At 40.4% G+C, this 20698-nt stretch overlaps 1 protein-coding gene across 1 annotated transcript in view; it reads left to right on the top strand.

Moving 5' to 3' along the window:
• NOX3 (NADPH oxidase 3) overlaps positions 1 to 19772 on the top strand; it is a 60472-nt gene extending 40700 nt beyond the window's left edge. The window contains exons 11-14 of the mRNA NM_015718.3: positions 3780 to 3926; positions 7886 to 8010; positions 18178 to 18331; positions 19566 to 19772. Of these exons, the coding sequence (NP_056533.1) occupies positions 3780 to 3926; positions 7886 to 8010; positions 18178 to 18304 (399 nt within the window). The 3' untranslated portion in view covers positions 18305 to 18331; positions 19566 to 19772. The remainder of the gene's footprint in view (positions 1 to 3779; positions 3927 to 7885; positions 8011 to 18177; positions 18332 to 19565) is intronic.

Here is a 20698-nt window from a genome sequence, read left to right as displayed (position 1 = left end):
GGACACACAGAGAGCCCAAACTTGTGACTGTCGCTCAGACCCAAGCCCCTTGCAAATGGACATGGCTGAGTTTGGGCTGATCATTAGCGCTTGGGAATGATGTGAAACTAAGGTCTATGACGGGCCACATGCACACAGAAACCCTCAACGCCATGACAGTCCCAGAGTGGTCTCCCAAAACATCTAGGCATCCACTATATCTACAAGAATGTGGCTGGGCACGATGGCTCATGCTGGTAATCCCAGCGCTTTGGGAGGCCGAGGTGGGTGGATCACTTGAGGTCAGGAGTTCGAGACCAGCATGGCCAACATGGTGAAATCCCATCTCTACTAAAAAATAAAAACTTCGTCGTGCATGGTGGCACATGCCTGTAATCCCAGCTACTTGGGAAGCTGAGGCAGGAGAATCACTTGAACCCGGGAGGTGGAGGTTGCAGTGAGCCAAGATCCCACCATTGCACTCCAGCCTGGGCAACAGAGAGAGACTCCCTCTCAAAAAAAAAAAAAAAAAAAAAAGAAAGAAAAGAAAAGAAAAAAAAGTGTTGGATGAGTCCTGTAAAAAAAAATAATTTTATTACTATGAAAGTTCAGAACTTTTGTTATTTTACTGAGAATGACTTTCTATTTAATAAAATCTTTTAAAGTAAACTCAGGTATTTTTGGTCTCTGAGATCAGCTATGAAATTCTGAAAAGGCATGCTTTCTACAGGTAGCTGATTTCAGGGTTGTTTTATTTTTGGAGACTAAGGTGGGGTGAGCATTGGAAAGCACAGATCACAGAGTTGTAGCCTATTGTTTGGGATACTTGGTCTCTCATTGACCAGGTCCTTTCTCATGGGCGAAATGCAGACTTGGAACTCTTATGTCCCTTCCCAGTGAGTGTCCCCCACCATTAGAAAGATGAAAGAAAGTCAAAGTAAATACCTTTTGCTTCTGTTCAAAGTCCCTTTCTTTCTTTTTCTGCCTGAAACACTTCTACTGAGCCTATCCATTTTTCCTCCATAGCCTCTTACACCAAAGCTGCCCAGTGTCACTTACAAGTCAATTACGGAGGGAAAAACACACAAAGCCATTACGAGGAAGCAAAAAGTATAAAAGGCTTGACAAACCCTAAGGACGCTGACATGCAGCTAGGCCACGAGAAAGTAAGGAAGGATTTCTATTTGAAAAGATAAAGTTTCATGTACGGAGGAAGCTAAGATGGGGATAGTTTTCAAGAAAGGACGACTGGGACTAGATTTGAAATTGGAGGATTTTTTTATAAAGCAAATGTTCTGGTTTATTATCCATCTATGAATGTGTTTTAAGCATGTTCCTTAAAGAATGGGAAAGAGAGAAAATAAATCAATGATATTTGCTCTATGCCCAATGCCAACTCTGAGATGAAACAGGCTACCAAGGCCAGGGAGGAGGGGGTCATGCATAGGTGAGCACTGCATTAATTCAGCCAGTAGATTTTTCATTTCCACCCAGAGCAAAGCAAGGCAAAATGAAAGCTAAGGTTTTCAAAGAGTAATTTAGATTAGGCACAATACAAAGCGAAAAGAAAGCAGATAGTGGTATTCATCACCAACCTCGAATATAAAATCCACCCCTAACTGGTCTCCTTTCCTCCTCCCCCACCCTCCATACCCTGGGTCTATTCTCAATACAGCAGCCAGAGAGATCCTGCCACCTGCTGCGGGCCATGGAACTCCCTGCTCGCCAACTCCCTGTGCTTTCCTGTCTCTCGGAGGGAAAGTCTACAACGGCCCCAAAGCCCTACAACGCCATGGCTCCCCCAGCCCTCCCCTCGCCCATCTCCTTGCTCTCCCCACCCTCTCTGGGCTCCAGCCACACAGGCCTCCAGGCTCTTCCTGGAAAGGTCTCACTCAGGACCTCCGCACTTCCCACCATCTGCATCTGCACTTCCCACCTAAGCATTTGACTCCCTCAACTTTTCCAGGTCTTTGCTCCAATGTCCCCTTCTCATGAAGAGGGGACATGAATCTCCACGAATTGATGGTTCATGTCCATCCATTACTGATTCAACAAATATGTGTTGAATGCCTCCTATGTCTCCAGACTGTTCTACTCCCTGGAATTATAAAAGTGAACACAAGAGGCCAAAAACAAGAGAGGGCTCATTGAGCCCCCGTTTGACCATTCAACTTAATATTGCAACACTTCTAACCCGCCTGGGGTTTCTGCATGCACTTCTCACCATCTGACATAACCTATATTCTACTTATCTATCATCTTCCTTCTCCCTCTAAGATGCAAATTTTAAGAGGACAGCAATTTTTTTTGGCCCTGTCTTGTTCACTTGTATAGTTCCAGAGCACAGAAGAGTCTGGACAGGTAGGAAGCACTCAATACATATTTGTTGAATCAGTGAACGGATGGATGAACGTGAGCCCCTTGCTCATGGGGATTCAGAGGGTGTCACAAAGGGAACCCCGGCTTAGCTCTGCCTGGAGAGGCTGTGCAGAGATCATCCCTAGGAAGAAATAAGTGTCAGGAAAGGAAAGGCAACCCTCTCTCTTCCTGAGAAAAGCAGGTCATTGTGCTTAGAGACTGAGGGATTATTTGTCCTGAAATTAGTATCTTAAGTCCCCTTGTGAACAGGAGCTGTCCAACAAATATGTGGGCCCAGTTTTTGAAAGAAGAGGCCTTATTCTCAGCATCTTTTACTCTTACAAATAATTAATATTATAAAGTCCTGCCTAAACATGAAGAGAATAGACAAGATGTTTAGCTTTGAGATAAACTTTTTTATTTTTGTCTCATGAATTTGATCTATTCATTAAATCTCATTTATATCTCTGATTATATGATCGTGAGCTTACAAGCTGGCCGGCAGAGAGGGAGAGAAGAGAACATTGATCACTGGATGAGGTATTTCCAGGTGGGGATTTACCAGGCAGCAGCTGGAATCAAGACCAGCCCTCATGGATATTGTTAAGCCATACAGATGTCTCTTTGGGGAGAAGGCACGAGAGAGAGAGGTGTGGGCAGCAAGGGGTGGGAGTGTGAGAAAAATGGGAGAATTAATAGATTTATCTCCTGTGGTTTCTTCTAGATGCAATTATTTGAAACTCGCAGCACAAAAACTAAGCTTTTATTTTAGCAAACCCAAGCTACTTTTTGTCACATGCCATTTGCTTAATACCGAGAGTTAAAAAAATAATTCTTCCCAGTCATAATTTCATTATAGCAGTTGACACACAGGCACAGCCGCCACCCACCAGCTTTCTTGGACACCGATATGTTTCACTGAGAGGAAATTTCTGGCCTGTGTGACTTGATTCTGAAATTACCATAATCTCCACTCTCCAGAGGCCGTAGCTAGTGAAGTGGATTAGTGTCCAAGCCTTTGGGGTCTCTGGAGAAGAAAGTTCAAATCCAGAGCTTAGGTCATAAGTAAAGATGAAGGGGTTGGTCTAACGGTTTATCCCCCTTTGGGAGCAGTGAAAGGCACAGCTAGTTATGATTATTAATCTTGTTCAGAAGCAGCACAGCCAGAAATGTGGTGAGTTGATCCTCATCCAGAGAAACTGGCACGGCCCACAGGCTCCTGACTCTCTGAATTCACTCTGGGCTTTTTCAAACACATTGTGAATTTTTTCAAAAGAAATCACAGTGTGACTGTTTGTTCACTGACACACACAAAAAAAAGCATGTTATTTTGCAGAAGTGCCCATTTGGGCTCAAATAATTTAATGGAGATAAAGTAGTCTGTGATTATCAGCACATATGAAAAGAGAATAGATCCGTTCACTTGCCTTCTCTCTTGACAGGTGTATTTCTACTGGATTTGCCGGGATGCAAGAGCTTTTGAGTGGTTTGCTGATCTCTTACTCTCCCTGGAAACACGGATGAGTGAGCAGGGGAAAACTCACTTTCTGAGTTATCATATATTTCTTACCGGCTGGGATGAAAATCAGGTACTGATAAGACTCTGAGAATAAGCAATATTGCTGAACTCATCTAATAGCAATGAGGAACAATTTCAATAATGAGCTATGTAGCACTCTGATAGCATGACAGAATTATTTTTATGTTCTTAAAAGGGAAAGGAGAATAAAATAAAACCAGATTAGCAAGAGTGATTCAAGTTGTAACAATCAAAGAACCAAAAAAAGAAGCTACAGTTAACTTGCTGAGGAATAGAAAGGGTCAGACAATGGAAGACAATCCAGAGGCTGGAAATCCCAAACAAATTTGCATTTGTCCCTTTAAAAGTGACATCAAATGAATATTACTGATTGGCTGTATCATCTTGTTGAGTTCCTGACTGGTTCTGTTTCTGTGCCTTGAGCTGTTCAGAGCTAAGCAAAAAAGATTCCTAGGTGTTTACATTCAACATTTTGTATTGTGAAGTATGTGAGCATCTATAGAAAATAATTATTATGAATACATGATTTGTCCAGAGTTTGTTCTCTTAAGGTGTTCTTAGAAATTGTGTGCACGTATGTTTATTTACCTAAGATGAAGATGATCTTTTGTTTTGGCAGGTGTTCTGCAGTATATTGTATTAATGAAATATTAAGATTGAATTTACCAAAAATAATGTATACCAAAATATTGACTATGGTAGTATTTCAATGTTGATACTATTGAATGATAACTACTACATTGTAATCCATTTTAACTCCTCAAACAGGGGAATTAACAACGAAGTGATTACTAGGTTACACAATATATATTCTAATCAGCAGCTATTATTGATATATACTTTTAAGGAAAGTGTATTTGAGCCTGGGAGATTGACATTAATCACTACATTTACAAATGAATGCTCTGTGTATGTACATCACACATACACACACATGCGTGCGCACACACACACACACACACACACTGGCCTTATAGAACATCACTGTAATTTGACTCTGCTTCTGCAAATGAATAAGACTCTGCTAGAAATTCAGTAGCTTAATGAATTTTTATGGTCTTATTTGCAGTCCTTCTTAAATATTTAATCCTTTGGGATAATTTGAAATGTAGCTTTCTTGGGAACTAGGCTTGAAACATCTTAATGAATTATATAGTGTTAATTATGTTTTCCAAACAAACACTTTCCTTATTCAAGTGGGATTTTTGACTGATGAACAGTTTGGTGAAGTAGAGACAGCTTCTGTCTTCTGCTCTCAAGTACTGTGCCTGCTCTTCTACTCTAAGGTGCATTGATCCCAGTGTGCACCTAGGTATTCCTTGCCAACTGGGAGCTGTGGGACTGAGGTTCTCATAACTGAGAACTGAAGTTGATTTGGCGACAACACAATCCTGCCCCCTCCCGTCTCTACTACTTCCAAGAATATGCTATAAAACATATATTTTTTTTCTAAACACAAGTAGATTAAAATAGATGTCTTACATTTTTGCCATGACATGTTGAAAATTATTTCGACTCCTAAATTTCAGGCAGAAAAATCACTAATTTCCACATTTAAAGGAAAAATAATTGGTGCATTCTGTCGGGAAAGAATCAAGAGGCTGTTTTAGAAATACCCAATTGTTAAACTGAATTCAACAACCTCAAAGTGGCAAAATGACAAGAACAGAAGGGACAGATGGAAGAGGTATTGTGAAGGGTAAATCAACAGAGTTTGGAGACTAATTGAACATTGGGCTGAGAAATATGGGACAAATATCATTCCAAATGTTTGAACATCAGTGATTGGCGGTACCACAAGTGTAAGTAGGGAAGGCCCTTTTTGTGTGTGAAATGGTGCCCGAACTTCTCAGCAAGGACCTTAAGACCCTTCCCAGCCTGACTCCCACTCACTAGCTGTGTCCCACCCCCATCGGTTTCCTCTGGCACCAGAGCCACCAAAGGATGCGTGTTCACCCATCACACTGTGCACAGTCACACGTCCATGGCTTTGCTCGTTCTCTCCCCACACCTGGCGTGTCACTTAACACCCTCTGCCACTGTTCCCCACCTTCTTTTTGCTCGGAGTCCTATACCCCAACTCTTTTCCAGCAGTAGCTCTGCCACCTGGTGTCAGACTTGCCTGCTCACAACTTCCTACGACCTGGATTTCTTTTTATATTTTCTTTATTTTTTAGATTCAGAGGGTGCGTGTGCCCATTTGTTACATGGGTATAGCGCATACTGGTGGGGTTACCCATTACCCAAACAGTGGATATCATACCCAGTAGGTTCTTTGTCAACCCTCACTCCCTTCTCACCCTCCCCCCCTTTTGGAGCCCCCAGTGCCTGTTATTCCCATCTTTATGTCCATGTGTGCCCATTGTTGAGCTGCTGCTTGTAAGTGAGAATATAGAGTATTTCGTTTTTTGTTTCTGAGTTAGTTCACTTAGGATAATGGCCTCCAGCTCCACCCATGTTGCTGCAAAGAACATGATTTCATTCTTTTTATGGCTGCATAGTATTCCACAGTATGTATATAACACGTTTTCTTTGTCCAGTCAACTGTTGATGGACACTCAGGTTAGTTCCATGATTTTGCTATTGTGAGTACTGCTGTGATGAACATATGAGTCTTTTTTATATAATTGGCCTGGATTTCTGAGATCTAACCTACCATTGTCTCCTGACCTGTTGGGACACTTCCACTATTTTCAGCTGAACCTCCCTAGATTCAACTACTTTTTTAGACTGGAGAGAAGGTCAGCCAGGAAAGTCAGGCTTACAGTGGGAACCTGGGGCATGAGTTGCACCCAGCAAGGTTGTTAGCCAAACTGGTCAGGGTCAGGATGAGTCAGAGGGTGAGAATGAATAGAGCACCACATAGGGGTCTAAGGGATGAGCACTGGGAACACAGATCCCCAGAAGTGAGAAGCAAGGTAGCTACCAGAATGCAGAAGGGGCTAAAATAAATGACAGCAACTTAAAACATGATCATGGCCAGGTGCAGTGGCTCATGCCTGTAATCCCAACAATTTGGGAGGCCAAGGCGGGTGGATCATGAGGTCAGGAGATCGAGACCATCCCGGCTAACACAGTGAAACCCTGTCTCCAATAAAAATACACACACAAAAAAAATTAGCCAAGCATGGTGGTACACACCTGTAGTCCCAGCTACTCGAGAGGCTGAGGCAGGAGAATCGCTTGAACTCAGGAGGTGGAGATTGCAGTGAACCGAGATCACGCCACTGCACTCCAGCCTGGGTGACACAGCAAGGCTCTGTCTCAAAAAACACAAAAACATACAAACAAACAAAAACAAACAAACAAAAATGATCACAAGGGATTATGCTGTGGGCTGTCATTTATTGACCACTAGCTACATGACGCCTGGATGGAGTTGCTTAATTCCAAGGCAAATGATTAGGCACAGATCTCCAGCCAAGCCGCCTGCCAGGCTCTGGCCACCATTTTCCGCCTGCCAGGCTCCACATCCTCCCAGCACTTGAAACTGGACAGTATACATCACACCGTTTAAACCCACTAGGCAGGTCTCATTGTAAGATGCAGTTTCTTCCCAGACATTTCATACCACTTTAATCTGGCAATGCCCTTCTCAACTCCCCAGGAGCCAATGTTAAGTGAAAGGGGATAGCAGGTAGACATTAATTGTTGAAAAGTTTGGCAGGAAAAGAAGGAAGTCGTTTAGTGCTTGCTTTCTCTTAACCACATTTACTATATTACTTTCATCCTTTTAAAGGAAAATATTCTTTCTAGGTTAATGTTATTGCACATCTACTAGGTATAAAGAGGCACTTGGTTCCAACAAGGCCTGATTCAGACATAAATGAGATATGATGCTTGCCCTAAAGTGCAGCATTGGAGACATCTGCAAATAGTGATAAGCATTGCCAGCCCTGTACACATTTTTAATTAAATCTACAAATGAACATGATTACTTTATTCTTTATTTATAGAAGTCTTATTTTTTTTTTCTAAATGTCATCTAATGCCACAAATTTACTTTAGGCTCTTCACATAGCTTTACACTGGGACGAAAATACTGACGTGATTACAGGCTTAAAGCAGAAGACCTTCTATGGGAGGCCCAACTGGAACAATGAGTTCAAGCAGATTGCCTACAATCACCCCAGGTAAGGCAAGCTCTTGCTCCTCTCCCTGCCAGGCTCTTCTCTGGAGAAATGCAAGGGCTGCTGGAGTGAAAAGTTAATCTGCAGTACCGTATATCTCCATTAGAGACAAAACATCTACCTTAGAAAAGGTGATCAATGGTATATTTCAGGGGCCACAAGCCTCTCCTGAACTGGCTTACAACCTCTGACAGTTATTGATTATGTTGCAATTTTTCACACTTAACCTCCATTTAAAGATGGTATTTCTTCAACTACATATGCTTTCAAGACATCTTTGGTGGGTACAGTTGATCTCTAATTACCCAACTGGAGAATTCACTCCTGTCCAACTGTACACTATCTAGCATGTCTAGCAAAAGCAGAGAGAAAATGTTAGAAGACAAAGCAGGGATTTCGGGTGGTGGTTAAGAACCCAGCATCTGGCTGTAAATCCTGGTTCTGCCTTTACCATTGGTTGACCTTGGACAGGTTATCTACCCTGGTACTGACTCTGTCTCCTCCTCTGCAAACTGCAGAAAATAATAGTGCTTTCCTCCTAAGAGTCTGCAAGGATAAAATTAATGAATGCATGTAAGAGGCTTAAAACGGTGCTTTGTATGGAGTTTGCAAGAAGCACTAGCTGCTATCACTGCTATTATTATTTTTATTATCGTTTCCATTATTACTATTATTATTATCATTATATAATAAATTTCAATATAGAAAAGCAAGAATACTTGTTCTGGGGTCACAAAACTGAAGTGAAGCCTGCACTTCCTGGTTCTAGAAGTTACTGGCTGTGTGACCTTGGAAGAGGCAGCTTATTTGAGCTTTCGCACCCCATTGAAAAATATGGATGATAATATCCATTCACAGTGTTGTTTTCATAACGTAAATATACTTGTAGTATGGGGCACTAATGCAAACAGTTATCATTGTTATGATGTCTCCTAAGTCAGTCTTTGCTTTGAACCTTCATTGTCTACGGCTCTTAAAAGTCGGCATGTCCTAATATTGTCTTCATTAAAGAACAGTTCCCATATTTGAGGAAAGATCTGAAGGCAGTGAAGGAGTGTGCCATGTGGGCAACTGGAGCATGTGCCAAGGCCCTGAGGCAGGAGACATCATTCCTGGCATGATCCCAGAACAGAGGAGGTGAGAGGGAGAGCAGCAAGAGCCATGCTGTAGGAGAGGTAACAAAGACAGCTGCGAGTCATTGTAAAACTTTGGATTTTATTCACACAGGGGAAGGCACTTACAGGTTTGAGCAGTAGAGTGACGTGGGATCACTCTGCAAGAGAATGGAACGTGAGGGGCCTGGGACAGAGGTGGAGAGGCCAGAGAATTCAGCAGTGGTGGCAGTTTGGATTAGGGAGCAGCAGAGGAGGTGATGAGAAATGGTTAGATTCCGGAGTCTTTGCGGGTTGAGCTGAATTGACTATGGATGGGATGTGAGGTGTGACCCAAGCTATTCAATAGAGTGGAATCCCCACTTACCATATGGTGATGACTTTAAGAGGAGCAGCTGGTTGGCAGACATGGGGTGTCAGGAGTTCAGTTTGTGACATGTTTAGCTTATGATGCCTGTCATACATCCACGTGGAATTTTGGAGTGGGCAGATGAATATAAGAAGCAAACGTTCAGGGGAGAATTTCAGCCAGAGGTGTGAGCACATGGACTGTTTGGAGCCGTGAAACTGGATGAGATGACCAGACAGGCAGATATAGATGGACAAGAGTTCCAAGAACTGCACTGTTGGATGGTCAGGGAACAGACACTGTATTGACAGGTCACAGAGTTTAATACGTGACACTCATATCTGCCTTAATAATCATGCCCCTTGGGTCTTCTATACCCTGACCTTCTTTCCATCCACTTTCTCTGTATTGCACCAGTAAGAGTACATTAAAGCCCACTAAGGTACCTCTGACTGCTTCCATATCCCCGGCGATGTTCCCATTGTCTTGCATCCTTCAAAGCCTCAGTCCTTGCATTTCTGCCTCGTGGGCTTCCTGCAGAGACAGCATGCTTCATTAAACTCTTTGTACTTCCTTCATATTTGTTCTGCTTCACAGAGTACTTCTCTGGTGAATATTATTTATCTTATGGTCATTTTGGCTGCTCCTTTTTAACATTTTTTTCACACTCTTTCTGTACCAGAAAGATGCCATTTTCTTTTTTATCAGTTGTCATGGAATTCATTAGACTCCCTGGACCAGCTATTTGAAGGAGGTTAATGAGGAGGGAGATGTGGAAGGAGTGATCAGGTAGCTGTCCAAGATTCATAACCATCTGATTCCAGTCACCATCTTGCCTGTGAAGTTACTCAGACCTCAACTGCCCTGTGCTCTGTGAGACCCCTGCCAACCCTCTCTGCACCCTGCACCCAGCAACCTGTAGAGAAACAGGAGTGTTTACACCCTGGGAAGAGATGGTTTGAAGGCATGCTTGTGGGGATTACTCCTGACCCACATTCAGCCAGGGAGTAAAGGCTTTCCAGCAGGAGACCCCAAGAAAAGCATCACTTTGAGCATAGGGTTGGGGAGGGAGGGCGTGGACCAGCTGCACAACCTCACAATCTTGCTCTTGCCCCACGGGGCTCATTCTGATGCCTCATAAGCTGTGGCAGTGGCCTTGGAGACTTTTCCAGGTGTCACTTCCTGACACCTCCTTGCTCCATTTTGCTTCTTGCCCTGACTCCTGCTGACATATGGCCTAGAATCCAGTTCTGGTTCTACCTTCTCTCCAAATGAGGTGCTTCCAACCCATCCTGGCTTCTGCAGCCACAGAATCCGGTTCCTCTGAGCTCCTGCTCCACACCCAGCCCTGGCTCCAGGGCCCCCAGTGCTTCTGAGTCTAAGTCACCACACCCACCTCACACCCACCCAGAGGAGAGACGAGATCATTTCATCTGCCATTTCCTTGAAAAGATTGTAGGTAGAAACTAACAAAATATTAAAAGCTTATATGAGAAAACTCAAGGGGTTTTTGTTGCTATTTTCTCCTTTTGGGAAAAAAAAAATATATATATATATATATTCACTGATAAATGTTTTACGTTCGGTTTTCAGTCATCATGGAATAAATGTTCTCACTTCGCAGGCTTTTGACATGGACATCTATATCTTGGTTTTCAGTTCTTCTAGATAGTCTCAGTCTTTATTAGGATTGTCCCTTTTTGACATCTCATATGGTGTTTGTTTGTTTATTATTTATTTATTTATTTATTTATTTTTACACACAAAGCTTGCAGCCCAGTGCGGAAGGCCTTTAAAACCAAACTATTTAATTATCTCCCTTCCCTCAAAAAGGCATGAGCCAGGAACACGGAGCATCAAGAGACCAAGGATAAAACTGGGTTTGCACAAACTCTGCCTAGAAAATTATGTAACTCAGTGCTGAGAAGTGGGCCTGTCCAATTTTTTCGCAGGGAGTAAAGAGTAATCAGTTTTAAGGTGGCAAAACTGTATTACCATCACTTTCCCTGTTGCTCATACCTTTCTAGAAGCCATAATCAAAGTGAAGTGCGGAAACGTACTTAATGCTCAATTGTATTTTGCAGCACGGTAGCTATGCAAACTCTCTCTCCTTGATGGATGACTTCATCTCTTCCAGAGTAGACGAGGCCCCCAAGGTTTGGAATCACTGAATCAAACCTCTACAGCATACTTCCCAGTCCCAAATTTTTTAATATCATATTTGTAATAGCCTTAGACTCTAGAACATGGTAACTTGTTATATAGCTTCAAGCATCCATGTCATTAATATTAGACACATGAAGGCAAAGTCAATGATTTTGTCCCTGGAATGCCAGATCCCTGGGAAAAGACAAGCCTTCGGTCAAAAGCTTAGCACCACCCTTTCAAAAGGCTTTTAAAATGACCTCCTTAAAATAATTTTGTTTTCTGCTGTGTAAAAGGAGATTTATGTTTAATGAAGCTTTTAATGAAGAAATCTCGGAAAGAGAATGCCAATAAAATCTAATTTTTAAACAAGAAAATCTAATATTGAGAAGTATTTCAATATCCTGGCCTTTGTCCAGATGTAAATGAAACACACAATCCAATTACTGTTCTGCACAAAGGACAAAGTAACATTAATTTTCCTCGGGATGGTTATTAAAGAGATAAACAGTATGTTTTCCCCTTATTATGTCAAGGATATGTTTGTTCCCAAGCCTGCCTGGCTACTCTTACAAGACGGTTCTGTCCTGTCGTTAGCTCATATCTTTTGGCAAAGATGGGTCAGAAGAAATTGGTGGATTTGTTAGTGGCCTCAGAAAAGGTTCTTTGTTCTTGAGGGCCTTTGAAGTAGGCTCTCAACCATTTCTATTCATCAGCACGAAGCCGAGGATTCTCCGGACTTACTCTTTCAAAAATATTTACCTGTTCACTCAAAGCTGGAGTTTGTTCTTGTTCTAAGAAGGAGTTAAATCAAAAGAATAAAGTGAAGAGGGGCAAAAAGATTTTTTATAGAACATGAAAAACAGGACCAAAAATAAAGCTTGAAGGGAAGCAGATCAAAGAGAGTAGTACAAGCTATAAAGGAACCAGAAAATTGCAAAAATAACAGTAATAGAGAAACAAATTGATGGGCATCAAAATGAATACAAATAAGGGAGAGAGAAGAAAAATTAAAAATAGATCAAAGGCTGACAGAAAATAGAAAAGTGTGTTCTATTGTTTTTGTTTGTAATTAATTTTGGTAATTATATTAGCTATATTACAAAAACACAAGTATAGTTTTGAAAGACAGTCAACAAATATTAAGTGGATGCATTATAAGCCTTTTATTGATATATTCAAATTCACATGCATGTGAAAATTGTATAGTATTTCAGTTAGATAAAGCACAGAAAAGTACTATGAAACAAAAACATTAAAAATTATTCTCCCAATTAAAATATAGTAGGCTAATTAAATACATTCATTGCCATCTATGTCTTACTAATCTAGAGAAAGGTATCTTTTTCAAAAATGGAAACTGTATTGCATTTTTTGTAAACATTGTCAATACGTTCACAAGCTTTAGGTAAATGTTCAGAAAATCAGGAAAATATTTCCAAGAAGGTAGACAGAATGAAAATAAAAATACCGTTGTCACATCTAGTTACTTTTTTGATAAACACACATTGTACGGATACTCAGCTTTCTGAATTTGTGGATCAGTTGCTTTTAATTAATTGAATAAAATAATTTTCCATAGGCCTTAAATCTTTGATCTTACCCTTCAGATAATATTTGTAGTTTTCTACTTTTGACCTATCTGTTAATAACTTCACCACGCCTTTTAGGTGTAAATTTGATGTAATTAATTACCATAAAAACTTTAAAGTTTGGTCATTTTTTTTTTTTTTTTTGTAATTTCAGTAGACGTATTTCTTTTAACTTTGAAGAAAAAAAAATAGAAGAGTACTACCATTTGTTAGAACAGTTTAACCCAACCTAACGATGAAGAAAGGTGTCAACTTACCATATGATTGGGGGCTTCTAATCCATATTGCATGAATGTATTTTAGACCACCTATTGTTTTCAGAAACGTGAAAATACCTTTATACTAAATTGAGTAAATGTGTCCATCTGGACCCACATTTGCTTGTGTATGCACCCTTCAATTCTCATTTGTATGTGCATATGTGCAAAATGTTTTAAAATGATATTTTTAAGAAATTAGCATTCTGATTATAGCATACAGGGCCCTTTATCTAACAGGATATCCTAAACATTCATTATGTGACTAAAATGTTCAGAATACTCAAAGAAATAGACTTAAATGGAAATACAACACATGATAAGTTACAGCTTCATGGGAAAAATAAAGACACCATAAACTTATGATGAGGAAATTGTCAGCATATTCCCATAGTTCCTTCCCATGAGAGGGCATCAATCTCTCTGGTTAGACCCAAGTGAAGATTCAATAAAAATTGCTGAAATTACTCCATTTGTGGTAGGGGGGATTGGAGAGATGGGTGAGTACAGGGTGGATTTATCATTATACTGCAAAATTTCTTCAATGGCATTACCTATCTATCAAATTATTAGTTTGGCAAAATATTTGGTTACTTATGCATGAAGGCATATATATGTTACTGTTTTATTGGGGTGGGGAAGGGTTGGCAAAAATGGCTCTACCATTCCCTGGGATCGGATGCTACAAGTCATCTGCTTTCATTTTTCTTCCCCATTTGACCATAAGCTTCTCAAGGGCTTATAGCTATAAGCAACTTTATCTATGCACCTCAGAGCCTAGCAAAATGGCCAGTATGTGCAAGTGGCAGCACCATGAGACCAATGAGGGAGCTGGGACAAGTGTCCGAACAGCACAGTTCTGGCTGCCAAAGAAAACAGAGCCTGTGGAGTGTGGGCAGGAGCAGAATCACAACAGTGAGCCTGGTTAGGGACATCTGCAGCAACTCATGAGCAACTGAGTAATTAGGACACAGAGAAAAGTAATGTCGTAGGCTGCTACAAATTAACTGGGAGATAGGTTAAAAAAAAAAAAAAAGCTGGCCAGCACAATTATCATCTGCGGTTCTGAAAAAAGAAGGTGTTGTACAAAATATAATTATGTGATGAATCATTTGGAGGCATTTCTAATGAAAAACACTCACTAGAAAGGATTAACCAGAAGTTGTGTCCATTGTCTGATACAGAGTTTGTAGCTCTCATCTTCTTTCTAAGCCTCCATAAATCCACGGGAAGCTTCTGTTTATCGATTTTATTTGCAGAATGCACTCAGGGTATAAAGTAATTTGCTTTTTTTTAAATAGGGTTTAGGGTCTGCCCCTACAGGGTTATAACTTACCAAGCATAAAAGCCAACACATAAAAACAAACATACAATTTAAGGAGAGAAGGGCTCACGGCAGCAGAACCTGGGAATTCAGCGAGGTGGTGGGATCACTCCCGGGCGCACCCACACGCCCATATATCTGCTGGGCTGAAATCTCCTGGTGGGTGATATTTTGGATGCCTTTCATGCATGGCATCGCTGAACTGTTTTTGAAAAATGCACCAACCCCACAGAGAAGAGCACAATAGTTATTTAGCAGACATAGAGAGGGAAAGGAGAATTTTCTTTATTGTTTATCAGAGCTAAAAATAATGCTGTGAATGTTAGCCATCTTTGCAGCTTGTGTAAAATTTGTCCTTTTCTCATCAAAGTCAGCAGCCCAGACTGATCAATGCCATTAACATTGTCCCCGATCCAGCTCCCCCATGCGTGTGCAAGCTCTGTGGCTTGCAGGCTGTAAACTGAAGAATAGCACCTTGCGTTTTTATACTTCTTTTGCGGAGAATCTCTATTTAATTCCAAGCGATTGTGGGTAATTAAATTTTATAGAAGAATTTTTTCTTTACCAACCCCATTAGGGTTCTGTTGCACTTGTCCGTTGCCTCATAAAAGAAAAAAAAAAAAGGGAAGCTGCCACATCTGTCCCTTAAACACTTGGCTTGGATTCTCTGCCCTGTGATTCACAGTATGCATTTGTGACAAGAAGTTCTCCATACTTGGAGTCACAAATGCCGAGAAGAGTAAGCCAGGCAAACTGCTTGTGCTGTCTGTGGGGACAGTGATGCACAGAGAGCCAGTGAAGGGCTGACCTTTCCACCTTAGCAGAAGGTAGATAATAAATGGCCTTTGTGAGACTTTTTGGTGATTGCATCACCACGGCGGATATGGCCCCTGAGTAAAGTGTGGACTTAGCTGTGCAGTGTGATAGCCACAACTTCAAAAGACTCAGGGGAGCTGTGAACTGCTGGGGACACCAGGAGAACACCAGGCAGCAGCAATCAGAATCCTTTGAAATGGAGTCTTAAAGGCAGAGCATCAAAGGGCACCATCAGGTCTGCAGTTACTGTTGCTGCAAACGAAAGAGCAGTCTTAGCCCATTGGAGTGGGCCAGTGGGCAATCTCTTTGGTGACATCTACACTAATGGAAAAATATCACCACCCATAACAGCATCTTTGAAAATAGATGCAAGGACACCTCTGGGCATCAGACACAAAGCAAAGCTGTGACTCCTCACTGGGAAGGGTCTCGCCTGATCCATCTACCATTCAAAATGTTTCAGTCCAGAGCTCAAAAATCTAGTGCTGATCTCAGTAAGTCTACATAATCACCTCTGTGTTAACACCCCGCACCACCTCTTCTGTTCAGCTTCACGGAGCAGGCAGACACCAATAGCCATCGCGTGGGAAAATAATATCAGGAAGCTAGCCATTCCTGAGAGCACACCATGTGCCAAGCACAGGACCAGCGGCCAGACCTGCAATGTCTTGCTTGATCCTCACAGAGATTCTCGGAGCTAGATTCTATAATTCTCCCCATTTTATAGATGAGAAACTGGGGGCTTTGTGAAGGTAATTGACATGCCCAAAGTTACCCAGCAACGAAGTGGTGGAGCCAAGAGCACTCTTAACCATTGCCTTTTATTTCCATAAACACCTCAAAATCTCTTCATTAAGCCATAAACTCATACCTTTCCATGGGAAATATTTTCTGAAAAATTACTTTCTCAAATTTAGCCATGGGAATGATTTCTTTGAAAGTAGTACTGCTACATTTTAAACATATTGTCATTTGTAAATTAAGCCATTGATAAGTTCCTTTGAAGCTGGAGTTTGAAATGCAGGGGAACCATCAATTTCTACTGTGGATGTGATGGTCCTGGAACACACAGTTAAAATGTGGCTATGACACATGGCAGAGAACCATGTTAACATATGAGCTAAGAAGAACTAGGCTCTATAGGCACTTCCCAGCAAGATCCATGTCTGAAGAAACAGAGATGGTATAGTGAGCTGGTCCTGAAGCCCAAAGAATGTCTTGATGACAGTGTTTCTCAAAGTGAGGCTCACAGGGCGATCTGCCTCAACACCACCCGAGATCCTCACTAAACATGCATTCCTTGGATTCGAGCCTAGGAATCTACATTTCAACAATCTGCCTAGATGATTTTATGCACAGTAAAGCTTGAGAACTTTTGATCCACACTAGAGTAACTAATTCAGCTTATACTAGAGATTGGAAAAAATGCTACAAAGAATAGTAATATTCAAGACAAGAGAAAAAAGACATGGTCTCTAAAAATCTCTATAGAGACTGATGCACCCCAACTTCCAGAAACAACTTTGAAACCCTGTGCAGATGTGGTGTTTATATGTAGGCTAAGTTGCAAGGCATTTGAGCAGCTCTGGGATAGCCACTATATGCAAAAAGTATCTCTCTGACATAGTTTTCTGAAATGTCAAGATTAGAGATGACAACGTTTGGGTGACTATATTTTCAGCAATGTCTTTTTCTTTTCCAGCTCTCCCTTCTGGCCTTCTTTGAAAATTAAAGTAATTCCAACAGGAGAAATTAATTAAATTGCTATTACTTTAGCATTAATTTTATTATCTATAAAAAGGCAGGGCTGAACAGGATATTAGTGATAACTAACCTTTTTAAAACCCTTTTGAATGTATTATCTCATCTTGCTTTTGATAAAACATACAACGTAGTCCTTATCATCTTTTCCACATGCAGAAACTGAGGTCTAGTGACTTGCCCAAGACCACGCAGATACTACTCAGGAAAGCCATTTAGTCATTCATTCAGCAAATGTGTGTTGATTGTCCACTGTATGCCAGGCACTGTTCCAGGTGCTGGAATAAAACAGACCAGGTTTATGTTCTCAGGAAGTTAACATCTGGTCACGTATCCAAGAAGACATGAATCAAGGTCACCTGGCCAAAAAGGAGGTCAAGTCCAGGCATTGTGTAAGTGGCTGCAATCATATAGGTCAGGGATTGGGAAACTCTTCCCATAAGGGGCCAAATAGTAATCATTTTAGGCTCTATGGACTGTATGGTCCCACTCTCAACTACTGAACTCTGCCATTGTAAAGTGCCAACATTGCAGGGTGTTGTATCAAAACCCCTCAACAGTTTCATGGCCCCTTTCCAGCCTCAGTCTTCTTGGCTCCACCTCCCTGATTAATTTAGGGGAGGATGCTGGGAACCTAGGAGAGAGCATGGTGCTGAAAGTAGGTAGAAAAAAAGAATCTAAGAAAAAACGACATGGAGGGAGAAAAATAAATAAGTAAAGCCACAACCACTTCATTAATCTTATCATTGTCTTGGCTTCTGGCTGGCCTTGCCTCCTGGTGACATTTTATTTCCTTTTCTTACCCCTACTGCAGCAGCAGTATTGGCGTGTTCTTCTGTGGACCTAAAGCTCTCTCGAGGACACTTCAAAAGATGTGCCACTTGTATTCATCAGCTGACCCCAGAGGTGTTCATTTCTATTACAACAAGGAGAGCTTCTAGACTTTGGAGGTCAAGTCCAGGCATTGTGTAAGTGGCTGCAATCATACAGGTCAGGGATTGGGAAACTCTTCCCATAAGGGGCCAAACAGTAATCATTTTAGGCTCTATGCACTGTATGGTCCGACTCTCAACTACTGAACTCTGCCATTGTAAAGTGCCAACATTGCCACAAACAATAACGTCAATGAATGGGCATAGTTGTGTTCCAATAATATTTTACTGATGGACGCTGAAGTCACATTTCATATAATTTTCTTATAACATGAAATTTTTAAACATTGTAAAAGTCACTTTTCGCACATCGACCATCCACACACTCAGGGGGCGAGCTGGATTTGGCCTGTGGGCTGGAGCTTGCTGACCCCTGGCATAGGCTGTCTTTCCCAAACTTGTTTCCATTCCCTACATTACATCCAACACGGAGACTCACGCTGCTTCTTGGCTTGAAGTCTCCTTTAGAAATCATTTCAAATTTTCATTTCCCTGATGGCAGAGACACCCACCTTATATCCAAACCTGATCTTTTCTGCTTTAAACTTAAGCTCCTTTTGTGCTTTTGTTCATCCTCTGTAGACCGGAGAAATCACCAATGGAGGTTATCTTTCACAAAAATCCTTTAGATACTTGAAAATGATAATCAAATCATCCCTTTCCTATCCCTTTTCTGGTCCAAACAATACTAAATTTTTAACCTTTTGGCCTAGGATATATATTCAAGCCCTTCCATCATCTTGTTACTCTTTTTCAAATTCAATTCCATCTCTTCACATCCTTTTAAAATGCATTGAGAAGCGTGACTAGTATTGAGCAAAAGAGGGACTTTCTTAGAGCTTATATGCCATATATTTACAAATAAATTTTATGTTTTCTTTTCTTCCTTCTTTCTGCCTTCCTTCCTTTCTGTCTTCCTTTCATATTTCTTTCTCAATCTCTTTTAACAAATGCTTGTTATTCTACCACATTTTGGTCTGTGGTCTTCTTAACACTTATACTCCTACTCAACTTCTGCCCCACAAAATAACTGAGATTTTTTTTAATTCCCATTGCGCCAGTCTTTCTATACTATGCAGCTATTTTACTCCCAAGATGTTTACAAAGTAGTCCTCACATCTTATAATTCTTGCTACTAATATTGATTAATTTTTTAGAATTTTTCTAATATTTCAAGATTGTTTTGAAGTTTAGCCCCAGACACTACTACTGGTATGTAGCTTGTAATATCTACATATTTCACTGATAATATCTCAAATCTTTTGTTTAGGTTTTCAATCAAGTTATTGATTCCAAAGAACTCCACCAGGAATTCCTGTGACGGCCTGTTGATATGAGCTCCCAGTTGGGAACTGGTGAATAATAATTAACTATTGTGAACAGTACACTATACCATACTTCCTTAGCTTATAAATAACATGTCATATACAACAGAACAAAAACATTTACTGAAATTAAAATATATTATGTTTCTCAAAGGCTTCTTAACTTTGTGGACTGTCATTCTGCCATAAAAGAGAATTAAATTGATCTGACATGATATGTTTTGACAAAGGCAGCCTCTTAAGCTCTCTAAGTATTTCTAAATTATAAATTGATCACTTCTTTTTCTTTATCCTCAGATTTTTATGTTGACCTGATGATTTCTATGATGATATTGATTTTATAAGTTAGGAATATTCCATTCATGTCTAAAAAAATTATTTCTACTATCTCTGCATTAGAATTTCTCAGTAACTTGAGGTATTGCTTGATGCATATAACTCAAACTCTACTAATTTGAATAGAACCAGTCTTTCTGTGTAATCATTTCCCCATTTAAGTTTAATTCAGGCTTTGCAACCAGAAATTTCTATAGTTAAATCTAATCTTTACTTTAGCAGGATATTAAATATATTAAAATTTTTTCTCTTGGTCATGTTTAATTATTACTTTTCTTTCTCTGTCTACTTGAAAATAAAAGTACTTTTTGATCATCTAATTTTGTCTAGTAAATTAGAATATACTTGCCCTTAAACACAGATTTTGCCACTTTTTTTAAGCTCCGGGGATGCTGTTTGCACCCCCTTTTGTGTTTTGACCTTTATGCTACTTCCCTGCATACTATGTAGAATCAAACCTATCCAGACACAAAAAAATACAGAAGTCAATAGGTTTCTTTAATGCAGCAATGACCAAATAGAAAATGTGGAATTTAAAAAATGAAATAGTTCTTCAAAACAGAAACAAAAATCTGGCAAACCTGTAAGTTCATTTAACAAGAATTATGCAACACGATTTGATAAATAAACATGCAATTCATAGGCAGACATTATTAAATGGATAGAAATAGCACGTTTCTAAATAGAAATATTAAACATACTAAAGTTACAAATTTGTCCCTAATTAATTAACAGTCAAGTG

Source organism: Homo sapiens, chromosome 6, assembly GCF_000001405.40.
Source record: "Homo sapiens chromosome 6, GRCh38.p14 Primary Assembly".
Taxonomy (NCBI): domain Eukaryota; kingdom Metazoa; phylum Chordata; class Mammalia; order Primates; family Hominidae; genus Homo; species Homo sapiens.
The sequence above is the reverse complement of the archived record's forward strand: the minus strand, read 5'-3'. Positions and strand labels throughout refer to the sequence as shown.